Source organism: Homo sapiens, chromosome 16 (assembly GCF_000001405.40).
Source record: "Homo sapiens chromosome 16, GRCh38.p14 Primary Assembly".
Classification (NCBI taxonomy): Eukaryota; Metazoa; Chordata; class Mammalia; order Primates; family Hominidae; genus Homo; species Homo sapiens.
In genome coordinates, this window is record NC_000016.10 from 9937366 (window position 1) to 9956612 (window position 19247).

The 19247-nt window shown below is 44.5% G+C and overlaps 1 protein-coding gene across 7 annotated transcripts in view; it reads right to left on the reverse strand.

Moving 5' to 3' along the window:
- GRIN2A (glutamate ionotropic receptor NMDA type subunit 2A) overlaps positions 1-19247 on the reverse strand; it is a 429505-nt gene that overhangs the window by 183962 nt on the left and 226296 nt on the right. For all 7 annotated transcript variants that reach the window (NM_001134408.2, XM_047433994.1, XM_017023173.2 and 4 more), the window contains one exon: positions 594-1186. In NM_001134408.2, coding sequence (NP_001127880.1) covers positions 594-1186 — 593 coding nt within the window. The remainder of the gene's footprint in view (positions 1-593; positions 1187-19247) is intronic.

Here is a 19247-nt window from a genome sequence, read left to right on the forward strand (position 1 = left end):
ATTGTTTGTAACTGAAAGAATAAATGCTTAGGGGATGGATACCCCATTCTCCATGACGTGCTTATTTCACACTGCACGCCTGTGTCAAAACATCTCATGTACCCCATAAATATATATACCTACTATGTACCCACAAAATTTTTTTAAATAAAAGAAAATTAACTCGTAAATTCCTACCATTATGCAGACTGGATAACTAAATCATGATACCATGATATCATAGTGAAGAATGTGATGAGGGCTATGAGGTTAGACTTATCTGGGTTCAAATCTTTATGAGTTACAAAAAATATAGATACACTTGAGATACAGCCATAGACAGACAGACAGATCGATCAATCCCAGGTGTAGGTTTCCAAGATATATTGTTGAGTAGAAAAAAAAGTTAAGTTGCAGGAAACAAAGTCTAATGTGACTTTTCTTACAAAGGAGATGAAAGAAAGAGAGAGGAGAGCAAAATAAAAGTCCCGTAAGTAAACACATAACATTCTGCATTTTCAGTGCGTATTTCCAACAATGAGTATGTAAGCAAGCAAACAATGACAACAGCAAAACTCTGATCCCACTTTGGGAGACAACAAGCCCTTTCTTACGGGTGCAAGGTGTGCATCGGGACCTCTGGCCTCTCCATCTGCCCGTAGCAGCTGGCCTTGGCCTCGGGGATGTAGGAGAACTTCTCCAGCATAGAAGATGCAGCGGTGGTTAGGATGCCAATGCCGTCCCTCACTCTCGCCTCCAGGCTGTAGTCCCAGTCATCGTAGGAGACAGAAATGAGTCCCGATGGAAACTCTTTTGGGATGAGCTCCGTGTTCCCAGAGACCAAGCTGGGGACAATCCAGAAGAAATCATACCCGGTGAGGCCAAGGGAGCGGGCCTCACTCAGAATGAGAACAGCCTCGTCTTTGGAACAGTAGAGCAAGATGACAGAAGAGTGGATCTTCTTCAGCTGGACTTGTGTCTTTGCATCCTCAAAGGAAGTGTCCAGTGTGATCACATTCTGCATGTCCCAGCCCACAAAGCTGTTGTCCACTGTGGTCTTGACGAAGCTGATGAATTCCCTGTAGCCAGGGAAGATAGTGGTCACCAGGGAGAAGACATGCCAGTCATAATCCTGCATGATCTTCAGCATGACCGTGGCTTGCTGCTGGATGGACGCTCCAAACTGGAAGAAGGTAGACGTCGGATCCTGCCAGTGAAAAGAAAGTAAAACAGAGGATGAGGCAGGAGGTGGTTTATATAGAAGCACAAACTGCGTCCTAGAAGTAAGGAAAGTAAATCACACATCAATCATTTGCAGACATTCCTGAGCATCTACTATATCCCAGACTCCAGAACAGATCCTGCAAATACAGAGAGGACAGAAGCCCCTGTACTCAGGAGCTCATAGCCAGGTCCTGGAAGGATGTCTGTAATTATTGCTTGCTTATCATCTATTCTTCTCATTTTCCTCTAGTTCGTCCTGCCCCTTCCTCCTTTGAGTCTATATGGTTCTAACAGAACAAACTCTATCTGACCCCCACCCCAGCTCATGACCGGAAAATCAAGCCACGGAAATAAAACAGCATCAGCAAAGACAGTTTTCTAACGATATATTTGGAGCCCCTAGAGTCTGCCAAGTATGAAGCCATTTCTCCTGGACCCCTTTGTTATACAAGCCAGTGAGTTTCTATGTTCATTTAAGGAGTTTGAGTAGGGTTTCTGTCACTTGAACATACGGCTCCCACATAATACAGAGTATCATAAATACCATGTGGACATCTACCTTTTCAATCAACAAATATTTATCGAACACCTTATTAAGTGTTCTTAATAAGAATTAAGTGGAAGACAACTTCTACAAACTAAGAGCTAAAAGAGGTATATGAAGTGCTGAAGGAGAATCCAGGTGAGGAAGAGGAGAAGTGCATGGATGTTACAGTCAGAGGAATCCCGAGGATGCACTGCGACTATCTCAGAAGCTGTAGATGAATGCATCATGGCACCGAAAGGAGGCGGACGATACGATGTTGAAGAGCTTGGCAGAAATCCAAGCACATAGGGCCTATTCAGAGCATAAGGGAGAGTCACTGAATGCTCTCACCCTAGAAAGTGGCATGGTAACTTATGTCAGGTTAAAGGGCCTCTATTAGCCCTAACATCTCCACCCATCTACGATTGTGAGAACAAATTTCCATTTAGAAAAGGCAGGTGATGCATACAGTGGTACAATATACAAACTGCCTTCATACCCCCTAACTCATCAAATCCCCATAATGATCCTACAAAGTTGGTATTGCTGGCAGGGAAAACGAGGCTCAAAACAGTCACAGAGCAAGTAGACATCTGTACCTCAGTGCCATGACTCTGCATCCTGCCCCCTTTCTGACACTCAATCACAGTCTTCCTGGGATCACTGAAGATCTGTATGGAACAGATGCTTAAACCACGTTGTTGACTTGTGGACATGGTGCAAAAATGCCAACTAAACAGAAGGTATGCCTCTGTGTTAGAGCAAAACAGGATTTGAGAAGTGCTGAGATGTATTTCTTTCAGGGAACTGAAAGAATTATCAAAAGGTCCTCATCATATTACAGCCATGTTTTTATTTTGCGTTCTGTATTTACCATGAGTATTGAACACAACCTCAACAAGATAACTTATGGGGATTCCACTGAGAGAGAGAGAGAGAGAGAGAGAAAGAGAGAGAGAGAGAGAGAGTGTGTGTGTGTGTGTGTGTGTGTGAAAGGTGGATGTTCCATTCATGTTTTTCAGAACAATACTTTGTAGCTGTGCATGTCAATTCCTTCAACAAGTTTACATCACTTTCCCTGTGGGTGCTCACTAAAAGTTCTATCAGAATGGGCCAAAAGCTATAGTTCTTCGAAATACTGCTCTTTTCTGAAATGCATGGGTTTGGGGGATAATTTGAGTGAAGCATGGCCTGAAGGCAGAGAAGAAACAAGAATAAATGTCTTCTGGGCCCCTTCCAACATTGCAGTTCCATGAATTTTACCTAATTAAATTAATTAAAGTGGGTAATAGATTTAAAGACTTTGGATAATTATTGTTTTCCCTACAGTAGCTTTTGCAGAAATCTAATATTCTTGAATTGATTAACCATTTTAAATCACATCTCAACAAGACTGTGAGCTCCTCAAGGGCAGAGATTTTTGTTGTTTTCATCTTTATGTCCCCAGAACCTGGCAGAAGTCTTGGCACACCCATAAGTGGATGACAAGGGAATGAAGATGTGAATGAAGCCTAAAGGACTGTCCTTGGTTAAGACCAGAAATGGAAAGAATGGGAATTCAGTATCTGAGATTGTATTTTGTGTGGATTCTGAATATTGTGTCCAAAACAAAACAAAACAAAACCTTCAAGATCATCACCTACACCTTCCTACCCTGAGGAACTACCCAACCATCCAATACCCAACCTATATCTCAATGTATCCTTTATTGATAAAGAGGAGAATATAGAAGACCTATAAACCTCAGCAGTTGTCCACAGAACTTCATTAATGCCAAAATAGGGCAACAAGATAAAAAAAACCACCAACAGAAGACAACACAGAAGTAGAGTCTAAAGGCAATTATATTCGCCAACCTCACACACTGTGAGACGCCTCTTGGGATGGGGCAAAAATGTTCTAAATTACAAAAGAAATGTGATAGCTCCCATGTAAATGATGCCTCAAAGGAAGCCAGTCACCAGAGTTACCTTCTGACTGCAAAAGGTGGTGGATCAGCATCTTGCACTAAGTACACAAGGAATACAGAAAGCTCTCAACAAGACACACGCTAAAGGCACCATTGGAACCTAATAAAAAGGGTCTATGAGACACTTCCTTGGGAAGATTGGTACTGGTGGAGAGGTGGAGGTCAGACATGCCAGATGGTGATGGAATGTGGGATCCTCCAACACCCTTGCTCTATGTACTCTGAGCTAGACATGACCAGGGTACCCATGAAAAGGTCTGTGCACAGAGCAAAGCTGTAAGCACACGCATCTTATCTGGTTCTCTACATGTAGAGAGGAAGGCATGGCTGCACTGTGAACTTCCTCAGGAGAAAGATAATTGGAGGGACAGCAGTTAATTGGCCCAGAGCCAGCTCGGCACAGGCCATCTGTGAAAGAGTAGGTGCAAAAACCCTTGCTTTGTGCTGTCTCCACCCCCTGTCATGCCAAACTTCAGCCCAAGCTGAATCTCTCCCATTACCCACTATGCTGATCCCCATTCGCAGCCTCTCTGCAGAAAATGGAGAATACTAGAACCTCTGGGGTTGGACTACCCAGCTCCAATCCTCATTATGTGGCCTTGGATGGGGGGGAAAAAAAACACTCAGCCTTTCTAAGTCTCAGTTTTCTCATCTATAAAATGGGTGTGGCTATGGTAATAATGATCATAGTAAACATGCTAGAAATACTTACTCTATGAGAGTCACGTTGCTCCTCACTTTCTAGGTGCTATCTCATTTAATGCCACCCCCAACCACCTTATTAAGTTGGCACTAATAGTATGCCCATTTTACAAATGAAAAAAGACCCAGAAGTAGGGTGATTTTTCCAGGTTCGTACAGGTAGAAAATCAGGTTTGCCTGCCCTCAGGGTCTCGAGTTTTTACCTCTGCACTCTGCTGTTGCCAATAATGGTGCTTCCTCATTAAGTTGTAGGAATTAAATGATTCTCTTGTATCAAAACACCCAGTGTAGTGCCCATCAAGTATGAAGTATTCAGCAAATATTTCACATCAGGAGATCATGCTATCTTTTGCAAGAGGTAATCCACACTCTGGACTTGGAGCATCTCAACAACTCACCCTGTTCAGAGCTGCCTGGTTGAAACTCTTAAAGCACCCCTTTAACCATGCCACTGCCCTGCTCTATAGTCATCAATAGCTCCCATAGGCCTACCATGTTAAGTTCAGACTCCCTAGCCTACCCATCTATGTGCACCAGCTTTATAGTTGAAATACCATGAGCTCTAGGGTCTATTGAACCTAAATTCAAGTCCTGCCTCTGAGGGACTGTGGCTAACCTAGCCAGCCCCGTGGCTTTGAAAAAGTGCTTAATCTTTCTGGGCCTGAGTTTCTTTACCTATAAGATAGGAATAATGACCCTTCCATCACATGGGTCTGCTGTGAGAATGGGATGAAAAGGTAGAAGTGGGAGACTCATCTGTCCACGCCTGACTTTGACAGTTTGGGTGCTTGTCTCCACATCCTCGGTCCTACAGACCACACAGACATCGTCAGAAACCTAAGAGGGTCCTCATCCTATTTCAAGAACTGGCCTCTCCAGGTCCACTGACATGCTGGTTTCAAATCCCCACCACCCCATGCAAACCAGCTCATTCATTCTGAGCCCAAGGAGCCTGTATAATGCAAAGAAGAAACTGCCTTTCCATACAGCAATGAATCCATGCTTTGGAGAGAAACCATCCCTAATGTCCTTCCTGGGCATCATGCAGTTACCCTGTACTACTGTCATTTCTATTGGTATCTTAAAATTCAACCCAAAAACCACCATGGACCAAAAGCATCATCTACCCCTTGGAGGGACAGAAGCAAGGGCCTATTTGCAAAATATAATTGCATAGCAGAGCAATGAAGAGGCTCACATTTAACTTTGGGATTTCCTAAGGTGATTTTATGAACTGGCAGGACATGATGGGGAATCTGGCCACACTCCCAGGGCCTGGCGTCCAATATGCCAAATAGCCCAAAGCCCCTGAACATCCTTTCCACTCCCTGTCTTGATGGTAGAGGCCACCTCTCCTGCACTTACCTCCTCCTGCCATGGCTCAGCCTGTATTTTTCGGATTCTACATATCAGCCTCTGACCACCTCTGGCACTCGGCTTCCTTAGAATGTGCAGCTGGGGGAGAGGAACAGATTTCATACACCCACTTTGGTTCTGAAGCAAAAGCACTTCTCTCCCCATGCTCACTGCTCTGCGGAAGACAGAACAAACTGTTTTAAACACAGAGCGAGGGAGGCAGGAGGGTGTGGGATTCTGGGTGTCTGCTCTAGACTCTGTGTTTCAGTACCATCATAACTGAGGACTCATTCAATCAGGTCTAGAGCATTCAATCCTGTTCCAGAATGTTCCAGAGCTTGCTCGGTCCCCAGGGTGACACCTGACTCCATGGGTACCAAAGCCTGGTGTTTCCTAGAGCATAATAGCAACTTACATTCCATTTACCCATTCATAAAGGTTACAAAGCCCATCCACACCCATTATCTCTTTGATCCTAACTACTCAAGAGATAACGCAAGTGGCATAACACTCATGGATGGCATTTCTCCTAAAGACACAGGATGAGAGGTTAAATGACTTCCCTGAGATCTACATGGCCCCATGGTGATGGCAGCTCAGTCATCGTGAGATGCATCCAGTTTTCCCTTGCTCACATCAGTGGCTCTCATTCCTGGCTGCACATATGAATCCCTTGAAGAGTTATCAAAGAATAACCTATGCATTGTGCCCCATGCAAGTCTGATTGAAAGGGAATCTCTGTGGCCTGAGTATCTGAACTTTAAAGCTGATTTATTAGTTTTTCCTCTGTCTCTTCTCAACAGCAGTATGGTTGAGAAGTAGGTATTCAAGTTAGTATCTTTAAAGCCAAGTACAATGTCTGACACACACTAGGGGCCTGATAAGTACTTGGGGAAGGATGAGAGGGGCAGGAGGCTTACACCCAAGAAGCATGAGAGAATTGGTCACTATTGTCAACCCCACACCCATTTCCACAACTTATTTTCCTGCTGTCTGCCAAGAAAAGGAAATAATGGAGGTAACTCAGCAACGATCCAGAGAGACTCCTGGGGAATTTGCATTCTCCTGTTGAGGACTGCCCTTGTGAGCCCTGGTAAGCCCTGATGTGCTTTCTGTTACTCTCATAGTGTATCAACTGAGCATTTCAACATATTTTATTTCAATTTCCAGGGGTGAGAGGAAAAGTAAAAACATCAAATAAGCCTGGTAAGCCTGAGGATTCAGATGGATAGCATTCTCACGTGCACATAAGCTGAATTGGTCACACTGGAAAACAACTACTCCACCACCACCCACCTCCCTCCCCCTTCCTCTGTCATCATCATCCTCCATCATCATCACATCCATCCTCCTCCTCCTCACCATCATCATCATGACCATCATCATAGCCAATATCTCTCTTGGGCATATCCAATATGTAGCTCTATATAGCATACAGTGGGATGTCTTATTATTATCCCTGCATTAAAGATTTTAATCTGGATCGTATGTGGTTGCCTAGTTGCGGAGAGGTGTGAATCTTGCATGTCCTTCAGACTGACAATTCTTGAGGGTAGGGCACCGTGCCCTCCTGACTTCTGCTCAGCACCTTGCAGACTGCTGGACCACTTCTTTGAGAAGGAAACTGGCACAAGCATCCCCCCTAGAGTGCAAGACTGCCCGTGGGCAGGAAAGGATCCCATGCTCTATGTACTTAAGCAGACCTGCCAGACCTACCACTCTAGAAAGAGACATTCATCCGTGGATTGTCTTTCATTCATTCAACAAATTTAACAAACTCCAGCTCTGTACCAGGCATTGTTCCAGGAAAGTGAATCTAGGGAAGGAGGCTACCAAAGTGAAGGACCCTGATTCCATGAATTTTACATTCTTAGGGGAGGAGACAAACAAAGAAGGACATCAATAAATAGAACAATTGGCCGGGTATGGTGGCTCATGCCTGTAATCCCAGCACTTTGGGAGGCCAAGGAAGAAGGATAGCTTGAGGCCAGGAGTTTGAAACCAGTCTGGCCAACCCCAGAGTAAGACCCATCTCAAATTTTAAAAATTTGAATAAAACAAAATAGAATAATTTCAAGGAAATCAAATGATGTCATAGTTCAGGAGTGGGGTGGAGAGAGGAGCCCCACTCTAGGTCATCTGATCTGCTACATTGGAGCTGATCAAAATGATATGAAGAAGGAGTCATCCAGGCAAAGATTAGGGGCGAGATGAGAGTAGGGAGAGCCATTCCAGCAGAAGACACATATGCCAAGGTAAGCGAGGGTTCGTCAAGTTCAGGGAACAGAAGGAAAGTCAGAACAGCTGAAGTTTAAGGAGCAAGAGAGAGTGGTGAGACATGAGTTAGGACAGGAAGCAAAGGCCACATCACACAATGAATGCCCTGTAGTCAGGATAGGGAGTCTGTATCTAATTCCTAGGTCAACTGTATTGCAAACAACTCCTCTGCTAAATGTGCCACCAGTGTCTCCCAATAGGGAACCTGGGAGAAACCTGGAATTTGGGGGATTTTGTGTAAGATAACCCTGTTCTTCCCTCTGGAATTCTGATCTGTGCCAATAGGTAAGCCTACATTGACTAACATAGAAGGGCTGTCATACATAGAGGGGTTGCTGCTGAACTGAAGGAAGCAGCTTTATTTCTGGAATAAAAAGGAGTCTTTCAGGCTTTCCCATAACACTTGCTAGGTTATGACTTGAAAGATGCAGCCAGCATCTTTCGTTTGCTATATCATTTAGTCAACTGGTACTCTAACTTCAAATATTGTGGCTAGAACTTCCATGTTTTCCTGGGAATTTCAGACCTTGTCCCAGTTTACCACCCAGAGCCAAGTTTCCCACTATCAAGTCCACAATGCCAGAGGAAAGAACACATAAATGCATGGAGAAATGTATTTCTTGATTCTCGTTGCAGCTGATTTAGGACAGCCCAATATACTGTACATTAATTAGGACCACACAATGATCATTGCTCTTGAACTCAGCCCTGCTTTCTAGATCATTAGCAGGGCTGGCCAAAAGGAGGCCCTGCTGAGATTCAGACCCTTATTGTTATGCAAGGAAACAGCAAAGACCCAAGCTGGCTTTACCTGGTGCTCTGTCAACATGCAGGTGAGCATCTGACTCCACGCTTCCAAACAGGGTCATTAGCAATTATGGATTGTCTGGGGCTAGGTCCAGCTAATCTCACACAGAAAGCAAGCCTGATTCCCACTAAAGCCAGAGGGAAATCCTACTGGACCAGAGACCATGGGGTTGGGTCTCTGAGGAGCTGATAAACTTAAGCACAAGGAAACAGCTTTATTTTGCAAGTCCCAACTGTGACTGGGCCCCTGGCCTTCTCTGTGCCTCTGAAACTATTTTCTTCAGATCCCTTTTTTTTCATGAAGCATGGGCCTCCCTGAGCCACCTGGTGGATATTTTTTATTCTGACCACTGAGCATCTGTTCTTCCTTTACTGGTAATAGTGAATTCCCCCTGAGAGCCCTCATTTTCCTCTCTCTCAGTCAAGCCAATTGGCCCATAGTGCCAGTAATTAATTCGGGGGTGGAACATTTCCTAATCTGATCTAATCAGAGTGGCTTTCTGGATTTATGAAGAAAGGGACTAGGAAAAGACAGCTTCTTTTACTGTTAGACTTGAACTTGGATGGATGTTCTACCAGAATTTCTGGCAGCCACCCAACCACTATATACCATCCTAAGAAGAAAGCTATCAGACCCAAAGTTTAAGCTGTAAGATCGAGAGTTACCAAGTTCTGATATCCATGTTGAACACCTTGTTCAAGCCACACCTGAAGACAAATTCTCTTGTTGTCAATTCCATGTCCCAATTAATTACCTCATTTTGCTTAAGCCAATTTGATTAGCTTTTCTGTCACTTGCAATCAAAGATTACTGATGCCACTTTGGCTAGGAAAAAAATAATGTAACATGTTTAACTCATCTTCCTGAACTTGAATCAGAATAATTCAAACTACAGGGTAGTGCATCTCTCTTCATCATCCTTCCCTTTTCTTACCATTCTTCTCTTTTTCTTCATCATTCTTCCCTTTTTCCTGGGACACCCACCTCTCTTCACAAATCTCACTTTTCCCTGCATGAGCTCTTCATCTTTCCTCATTGTTTTTTGTTTTTCTCTAATATGTGCTGAGATTGGTTTCTTCTCAAAGACTCTGACAGCCACAACAGCCAAGACCAAGACTTAAGACATGACAAGTTGCCACCAATAATAATCGCTTATCATTAAGCTGTTCCAGCAAAGAGAAAAAGCAAACCAGTCCCGTTCATTAAGTTTTCGTCTCCGGCTATCATACATAGAGGAGCTGCTGCTGAACTGAAGGAAGCAGCTTTATTTCTGCAATAAAAAGGAGTGTCTTGGGCTTTCCCATAACACTTGCTAGGGGCAGGCCCTGGTGGTAAACATTATCGTCGAAATGTCCATTTCAAAAATATCCCAGTGTTCTCAAAGAAATGTCTCCAAACAGCTCTGAATGCTCAAGTTCCAGAAGAAATTGCTTCTTCTCCCTTTGGGAGTCTGTATGTTCCTGTTATCAAAGGCACAGACACTGGTACCAAATAGAGGGTTCAAATTTCAGCTCTTTCTCTTACTGGTGTCTGGGCCTTGGACAAAATCCTTACTAGCTCTGAGGCTCCATTTTCTCATTTTTTTTTTTAAATGGAGGGAATTTTATTCCCTACCTTAAAGAGGTTGTTGTGATTGGGATAATGCATGTATTACTCTGAGCACATACCGAGAGCTCCATTAATGAGAGCTGTGATTATGGTGGCTGTTGTAATCAAGAAAGAATCAACCACAATGACAGCAACAAAACCCAAAACACTACAACCCACAAACACAGCACTAATGCAAATACAAACAGCTCCCCTGTGGCTTTTTTCCACGTCTTCTAAATGACACAACTTTGCAGCACCATGGCAAAGGAGCTCTTATCGCGTGCCAAGCACTGAGGTGAAAGCAGGTTGACAACCCATCCCAATGTTAAACCTGAATGTTCCGCTTTGCAGGAACCCTTTCAGTCCTGGACAAATCAGGACAATCAGTCGATCACACAGAGATCTTCAAGTGCATTTATTTAATCCTCACACTAATGTTTCAGGGAATATTTCTATTCCCATTCTACAGTTAAGGAAGTTGGGGCTTAGAGAGAGGCAGTTCTCAAACTCCAATGAGCATAAGAATCACCTTGGATCTTGTTAAAACACAGCGGGTGGGGGCTGGGGCATTGCAAGCAAGCTCCCGAGTGGCATCAGTTGCTGCTAGTCCATGGACCAAGCTTTCAGTAGCAAAGTTCTAGAGGTCAAGTCACATGGCATGCCCAATATCATGCTGCAAGCATCTCTCAGAGTGATGGTTCTGACCCAGGGGTCCTGGTGCCAGGTGACCTCTGTCCATCCCAGGGAGGACTAGGCAATGACATAAGACAGTGTCTGATGTCTAACATTCTCACCACCGTGTGTTTCCTTCAGGTATATCACAGGTATGTCATGCCTGTCAGTCCCCATCGTCTTATCCAGCAAAACACTTTCAGTTATGAGTCAGAACATACTGCATGGGAGTAAAGGAAGAGGGGCCACCCTGGGGTGAACCGCCTCACTCCTGGGAGAGAACTGAAGCCATCCAGGAACGAGAAGAGCACAGAGAGAGAAGGAAGCACCGGTCAGTCCTATGGTGCCCATGGCCATCTGCCAAGCAAAGAAAATGACCCCAGGGTATGCATAGCCACCCTTCTCTGCATGCCAGCGCTGCAGCTCACAAATGTACGCAAGTGGCTGGGTCTCCCTGAGCCTCCATTTTTTTCATCTATAAAATGGACCTGGCAGTTTTCTAATTACCTGGAGGGGAGCTGGGGTATCTGTAACAGGGTAATGAGCAAGAGCTCCATGAACTGAAAGGTAGGGGACTAATGTGGGAGCTCACTGAGGAAATAGGAAACAGCTGCCGCCTCCTCTCTCCCCTCCACCTCCACGGTGCTCCCAGAACACACTGTCCAGGTCTCTATTGTCAATCGTCACCAGGTATTTTAGGTGTCTATTTAAATAGCTGTCTCCATGCAACCAGATTAATGCTAATTCATCTGTACAGTAATAGCACACAGCCCAGCTCCCAGTACATGGGGAGCTGAGAACACATTCAGTGAAGGTATAAGTAAGCAGGTGAATGGATGGACAGACGAATGCATGGATGGATGGACGGACGGATGAATAGATTGGATGGATAGATGGATGAATGGATGGACAGATGGATGGATGGATGGTCAAATAGGACAAATGGATGGACAGGTGGATGGATGGGTGGGTGGATGAATGGATGGGTGGGCAGATGAATGGACAGATGAGTGGATAGATGGATAGGGTAGATGGATGGATGACGGAAGAGAAAAATGAACAGATGGATGGATGGTTGGGAGGATGAATGAATGAATGAATGGATGGATGAATGGATAGACGGACAGATGGATGGATGGGTAGACGGGTGGGTGGATGGATGAATGGAGAGATGGGATAAACAGATGGACAGATGGATGGACAGATGGATGGATGGACAGATAAATGGATGGGTGGTTGGATGGATGGACGGACAGATAAATGGATGGATGGGTGGGTGGGTGGATGGATGGATGGATGGACAGATGAACAGATGGACGGATGGGTGGATGTGACATGAGTTGTGGGTATAAGAGATTGAAGAAATAAACGAACATCCAGTGAGAAAGGCAGTGGCTGAGTTAGTAGCACAGTGATGGGTTAGAGAGGGCAGGGTATAAGTGAGAGCTGGATGAACAGGGGGTGTGAAATGAGGGGGCTCAGAGGTAGAACTGAGTGTCTGCAGTGTGAGAATCCATTGCTACCCAAACTCTCACAATCTGAAGGCAGGAAAGTAATAAACAATTCTGAGGAGGGTTGGGCTGGCATTCTTCACTGTCTGAACCCTTGTTACTTGCTCTCTAGGATTCAGGAACCAAACAGATTCAGGCAAAGTGGATTCCTTCTCTATCAAAACCCAGGAAAGGAATTGATTCCAAAAAGAGCCCATGTCCTTGCTGCTGTCAGAGATGACTGAGGGCTCTTGTGAGCACAGGGACAGACTGTTTCCCTCCCCTAATCTCTAGCCCACTCCCAAGCCCCTTTATGTGTTCTCCTCTCCCAGCTACATATCCTCACCTAAAGCTTTTCCTAGGTATCTTTAGTCTTGCAGGTGGTGTGAGAGGATCCCTAGGGAGCCCTTGGACCTCATGGTTACTTGAGGCCCTAGCCAAGGTAGAAAAAAGAAACTACCAAGGGTCTAGGAGGGAGGAGGTCACCACCCATCAGATGTGGGTACCTGGAGACCCACATCTTATTGCTCCTTCTAGGTATCCAAAGCTCCCAGGAAGCTTTGCAAGCATCATTTTCACCCCTCTCACTTTGCAGAGCCCTACAACTTGAATAGGCTACAATGACAGCCTTCTCTAATGAGGCTACTAAGCAGATAGCAAACAGGACAGCTATAATTGCTTTGCAGGAGCAGAGTCCCAGCCAAATCATGGGAGATGGCTTAGTGCAGTGGAAGGCGCAAGGATTTTGGAATAAGACACATCTAGGTCCAAACCTCAGTTCTTCCACAGGCTACCCGTGTTGCCTTGAGAAACTGGCTCAACCCCTTAAGCCTCCGTGTCCTAGGCTGTAAAACAGGAAAAGCAATTTCCACCAACTTCATAGATCAGATGAGCTCATGTACAGTAGCTGTTTACTGATTATTTATTGCATTCCGATCATTTCTTCCACATTATCTCATTCAGTCTTTAACGAAACCCCATGAAGAAGGTAGTATTAATGTCTAATGTCAAAACTAATTAATTTAAATTTTACTGGATTCCAAAACCCTTGCTCTTCACCACTGACAACGTGCACCTCCCTCCTTATCGGTGCTTAACCTGTGAGCTCCCTTTCCTTTACCTGGTCATTCTCCCATATATTCAGATACCATCTGAAGATCAACCCTTCCCCAGCACAGTGCTTCCTCCATCACCAGCTTCTTCCTCTGGAAGCAATGCATCCACAGCAGAAGAATGCACCCTGAACTAATGCCAGGAGATTTAGCAACCTAATCTGCACTGTTTTCCTGGAGCATAATATTCTGCTCGCAAATCACTCCCCCCACTGAAGCTAACACAATACAGAGCATCCTTTAACTTATGTAAATAAGCATCTTATGGGCATCCGATTTATTCACCTCTCATTGCTTTGGAGACCAGCAGACCAAATACAGAATATCATCTGCCCCTTTAACAGAGCAACGCTAAATTCTCATGGGTGCATTTGTGTTTGTGTTTGTGTATGTGCGCACAGGCGTGCATGTCAAAAAGCTAATATCTGTTTGTTCTCTTCAGCAAGTACTAAGCTGGGCAGCCTGTCCAAGACCCACTTGCAGCTCAAAAGAAGAGGATGAACTAATATGACCAGAGCTCACCATTACAATTAAACTCTGAGCACAAATGGAATTAGGAGCATAAACAAGGGGTGGAAAAGGGAGAGATTTTAACAGAAAAAAATGATGGTTTGTTTTTTTCTCCGAAGTGACATAGAAAAAGAAATTGAATGTCAGCCTCTGAAAAGTGTCCAAATTACTATTTGAAAGGAGAAAAACACAATCAAATAAGGTCCATTTGTGTTCATGCTGAGCCCCAGGGCTTCCTGGCTCCCATCACACTCAGAGCTGGTTGCAGGCGAGAGCCCAAGTCAGCCCATGTGTTCTTCAACCTCAGGTAAGTTTGTCTTCTCCAGTGTTGATGAACACAGAAGGCACTCCTTCCTCAGGGCTCAGAGGACAGAGAAGCCCTGACACTCACTGCCCAGTGACCTCCCAGCCCCCAACGATACCGCTCACCCTTGGGTATTTCATATTTGCTGCAAACTTTGTAGCAACCACGAGAAATAAATAGAAGGCTCTCCTTCACACTTTGTACCTGAGAAAATTAAGGCTGGAAGTGTGGAGGGTTCACTGGCCTCCAAGCCTCACCCAGAAAGAAAGTCATGGAGCCACAGAGCTCAACCCACCCTCAGCATGCTCCAGTAGTGAGAGTTGTGGCCAAAGAAAGCTCAGGGCACCAAGGGAATGCAGAGGAAGGGGACCCACCCAACCCAGCAAGAGAGGGTGAAAGGGTTCCCAGTGACCCCTGAGGTCCTTGTAGATGGAGGGCAACTTGGCACAGGCTGGAAAGGTCTGGAGACAGAGTACAGAGAGGACAGTGTACAAAGACAGTGTGCAGAGACACACAGAATGAAGAACATGGCACCCACTGGGAATGTGAGCAGCTTAGTGCTGAAGAAACACATGCAAAAAAAAAGAAAAAAGAGCCAGAGAAGTGTGTGGCTAGGGGAAGAGGCAGGGCCCGAGGGTAGGTCCATGCCTCTCTGGCTCACAATGAGAAATACCTTTGAATCTGGTTCCATAGTTATCTGTCACCTTTACGTTCCATATAACTCATATGATTTACTTACAATGCTTATTATTAATATTTTCTGTCTGTTCAATGTCCTATTTGATAGAATATAAGCTCCATGAAGTCAGGTATATTCTGTTTGTTCATTGATCCCAAGTACACGTGACAGAGCCTGCCACAGAGAGGAACTCAATGCTTATATCTGTGGGATTGGATTAAAGACATTCAAATAATTATTGAATGAAAGAGAGAAAGTCAGGCAACAAGAAAGTGAGAGAAAAAGGGAAAAAGGAAGAAAAAGAGGGAGGAAGAAAGAGCATGGAAAGGAGGAAGGATGGAGAGACACAGACAGGGAGTGAAAAAAAGAGACAAGGAGTTAATGCTTTCTGGGGTTGACGAGAAGAATCCATGAAAGAATTTTTTAGCAGCGGTGTGACATGAGCAAGTTTTTATCTTCGGGAAGGACCACTTGAGCTTGAGTATGAGGAAGGGCTTGGAGGAGGGAATGAATGAAGGCAGAAAAGCAGGCCCAGAGAAATCTCACTAAAGCAACTCCAGAAAAGAGAGAAAGATCTGAACTAGGATTGCTGCAATACAGATACACAAAAGAGAGGTTCAAGAGATGTTTAGGAGGTACATTCAACTGGTCTTGGCAACTCATGGATCGGATTGGCAGGGAGATTGGGGAGTGAAAGAGGATTGCCAAGTGAATGGTGATGTCACTTACAAAAGTGGAGAACAGGTTAGGGACCCTGCTTTCTTCCTCACAATTGTAGCTCCAGCACCTAGCCTTGTACCTGACATACAGTAGCCACTCTGTAAATGTTTTTTGAATGAATGAGTGAGCAAGGGTGGAAGTGAGTATAGGTAGGGGGACAGAGAAATGCATATGGAATTCAGGTTTAGGTTAGCTGCTTTTGAAACCTCCCTGCAGGGAGTCCACCAAGAAGGTGGATAGGCAGGTCTGAAGATGAGAAAGGGGTCAGGGCTGAGGCTTGAGATTTAGAAGTTGTCTATCTGCTGGGGGCGGTAGTTGTTGACAGCTGTGCATGGCATCCCCTAACAAAAGAAGGAGAGTGTGTGTGGAAAAGAGGCAGAGAAGGAATGTAGGAGAGGTACGAGGAGAAAGCCGGGGAATGCGATAACTTAGAAGCCACGGGAGTAGAGAGCTTGAAGACGAAGGCAGGGGTGAAAGGTGTCTAGTGTCCAGGAAGACAAAGGCTGAAAGGTACTGCTGTGTGGTGCAGTGAGATGTTCACCTGGGACTTTAAGGCAAGTGGAGTAGGTAGAAGCACAACCTCAGAGTGGTCCAGAGGAGTGAAGGAGGCAGAAGTAGTAAAGGGGACAGTGGAGGACGTTCCAACACTTTCCAACTGCCCCATGCTTCTTCTCAAACACAACAGTATTTTAGAGGTATAGAGAAGAATTTCTCTGAATACTGGGATTCAAACTGGGGTCAGGGGGCTCCTCCTCCTGCTTTCTTTTTTCCCCATTCCCCAATGTCCTCTAAGTCAATCCTTCTGTCCTAGACAGAGAAACTTGTGCCAGAAAACACAGGATATCCTAAAATAACTCCCTACATGCTAAAGGAAAACGAAGTGAACATTTTTCCTTTTTAATTCCAAAATCATGCTTGCGATATACCTTCAATGTTGAAGAACAAGATTCCTTAGTTTTTCACCCCGGACATCACCTTTTCCTTACAGAGAAAACGTAAAATCTAAGTGTGTCTTGTTCCCCAGAGAACAAAAAGGAAGTGAAAATTAGATGTGCACATGGTCGGCAGATTGAGATAGACAGATTCCTAGACACTCTCTGGAGTTAAGACGGCTGCTCTTTCCAGCTCACACACATTGCATCATCTTGCTGTTGATGTCTCCTCAAGGATTTGTTCCAACACTCTGATTTGTAAAGGACCCAGAACAGAGCTTATTAAAAACTCAAGACACTATATCTGATGGGGGAGCATCAAGGGGCCATTAAACACTCACCTCATTAATAGCCTGCAGAATGAGTCCTTTTCTAAAGCTCACACAAGATGGTGATTAGACAGTCCTGGCATACAAACCCATCTCTCCATTTTTCAATCCCTTGCCGAGCAAAATTTTCAGGCCACAAATTAGAGGTACCCCTGGCTTAAAACAAAACAAAACAAAAAGGTTGGGATTTTAATGAGCCTTCTGCCTCTAAATAAATCTCTCTACCCGGCACTCAAGTCCTCTCCAGACTTAAATGAAATGCATCGACAAAGCAAGTCATGCAGTGGGATGAATCCAGAATTCAATATGAGTCAAAGTCCTCCTTTCTCCAGGCCAGCGTCCTTTATGTTCATTATGTTGAGTGGTAAGTTTGTACCAAGTGGCGTTAGGCTTACTCCACAGTTATTATGCACATAGTGACTGTGATGATGTGGTTTCCATCACCTGGGATCAGACTGTACTTATTCTACAGACTGTCTGAAGTTGGGGATGAGTTTGGTGTCATCCCCATGGGCAGTCAATAAATCCTTGCAGCCATTTGCCTGAGTCAAGGCGAGGGTTTCACTCTCTCAACAGCCTGAGCTTACCACTACTGCAGTGCTGACCATTCAGTGTCAAATGTCACTGAGGACAAATACCACAAATCACCACATGGCCTGTGGATACCAATGGGATATGTAGTCTTGTCACAGATCACAGCCTCCCCACCTTGCTTTCTCCTCTCTGGATGCAATGACCTCTCGGCCACCTTGTGTCCACCACAGAGACTTTGCTTGTCTTGTTCCAGGTTCCTTGAACTGTTCTTACCTTCTCTGTCCAACTCCTATTCTTCCTTCATTCATTTCTAGATCATCATTTCCTAAGGGATGTCTTCCATACCCTCACGGATTAGGCAAATTTCCGCTCTTCCATGCTCTTTCTTGTATTAGGTTAGTGCAAAAGTAAATTACTGTTACTGCCCCTACCTTTAATGGCAAAAACAGCAATTACTTTTGCACCAACCTAATATTTTCATAGTACTTAATGTGGCTGTTAATCAACATTGATTTATAGACTGCTTTCATGAATGTATGTGTCCACCATTTAAACAAATTGTCCAGAAAGGCAGGGGCTATGTGTGCTGTTTTATTTTGTCTTACTAATCACTATATCTCCAGCACTGTAGAAGCCTAATTCCATTTTTGGTTTTGTTTTGGTTTACTAGTTTACTGGCTTGTTTTGAATGAGGTTAGGCAGCTTGCCTAAGTGCATCAAGGCGAATGAGCTCCCTGTGTCACACAGCATCGAGTAAGTCATTTCTTTCAAACTCTCTCTCACCGCCAGCTTCAACAAACCAGGAAACCCATCAGGCTGTATCACCTTTGGGCAGAAATCCCCAGGGGCTTGGGCATCACGCTGACAAAGTCTCTGCCAGGTGTTAGGTGCTGGTTCCTATCATTGGTTCCATCACCCCTTAAAGCGGCTTGCAACATCCTTGTAAAGTTCTGTTGTTCGGACTCATGATCAAGACACAAAACAATTCTCAGGGGCTTGAATCAGCCCCTCCTAGCTGCTACTGGGTGAACACTGTGATTTGTGACAGGTAATTTAAATGCAACAAGTAGACTTTCTTCAAATGTAGCTGCCACTGAAGTGAGATGTTTGGAAAGAATCCACTGTCCTGTGGGCTTTCTTGTGTTTTCTGTTTTTGTTTCTGTTATTTTCATGTTTTAACTTAAAAAATTTTAAACCTCTACCTATAAGCCACATAATACCCATACTTAAAAAGCAAAGGTGAATAAAAATTCAGATTCTCAGGGGATCTATGCAAGTCCTGGTTTATCACGTATGAGCCGTGTGTCTCAGGAAACTCACTTCATTTCACTGATCTTTAGAGCTTCAGTCTCTTCACAGGAATGACAAATAGTATGAATCTTACCAACTTCTAGAACTGCACAGTGAGCCAGATGTCAATTATCACTTAACTGTGTCTTTAATTAATTCATTCATTTAACCTATTATTTATTCATCTCTGGACCAGGTACAGTGCTGAAGGCTGAGAATCCAGTAGTGAACAAAAACAGCCATG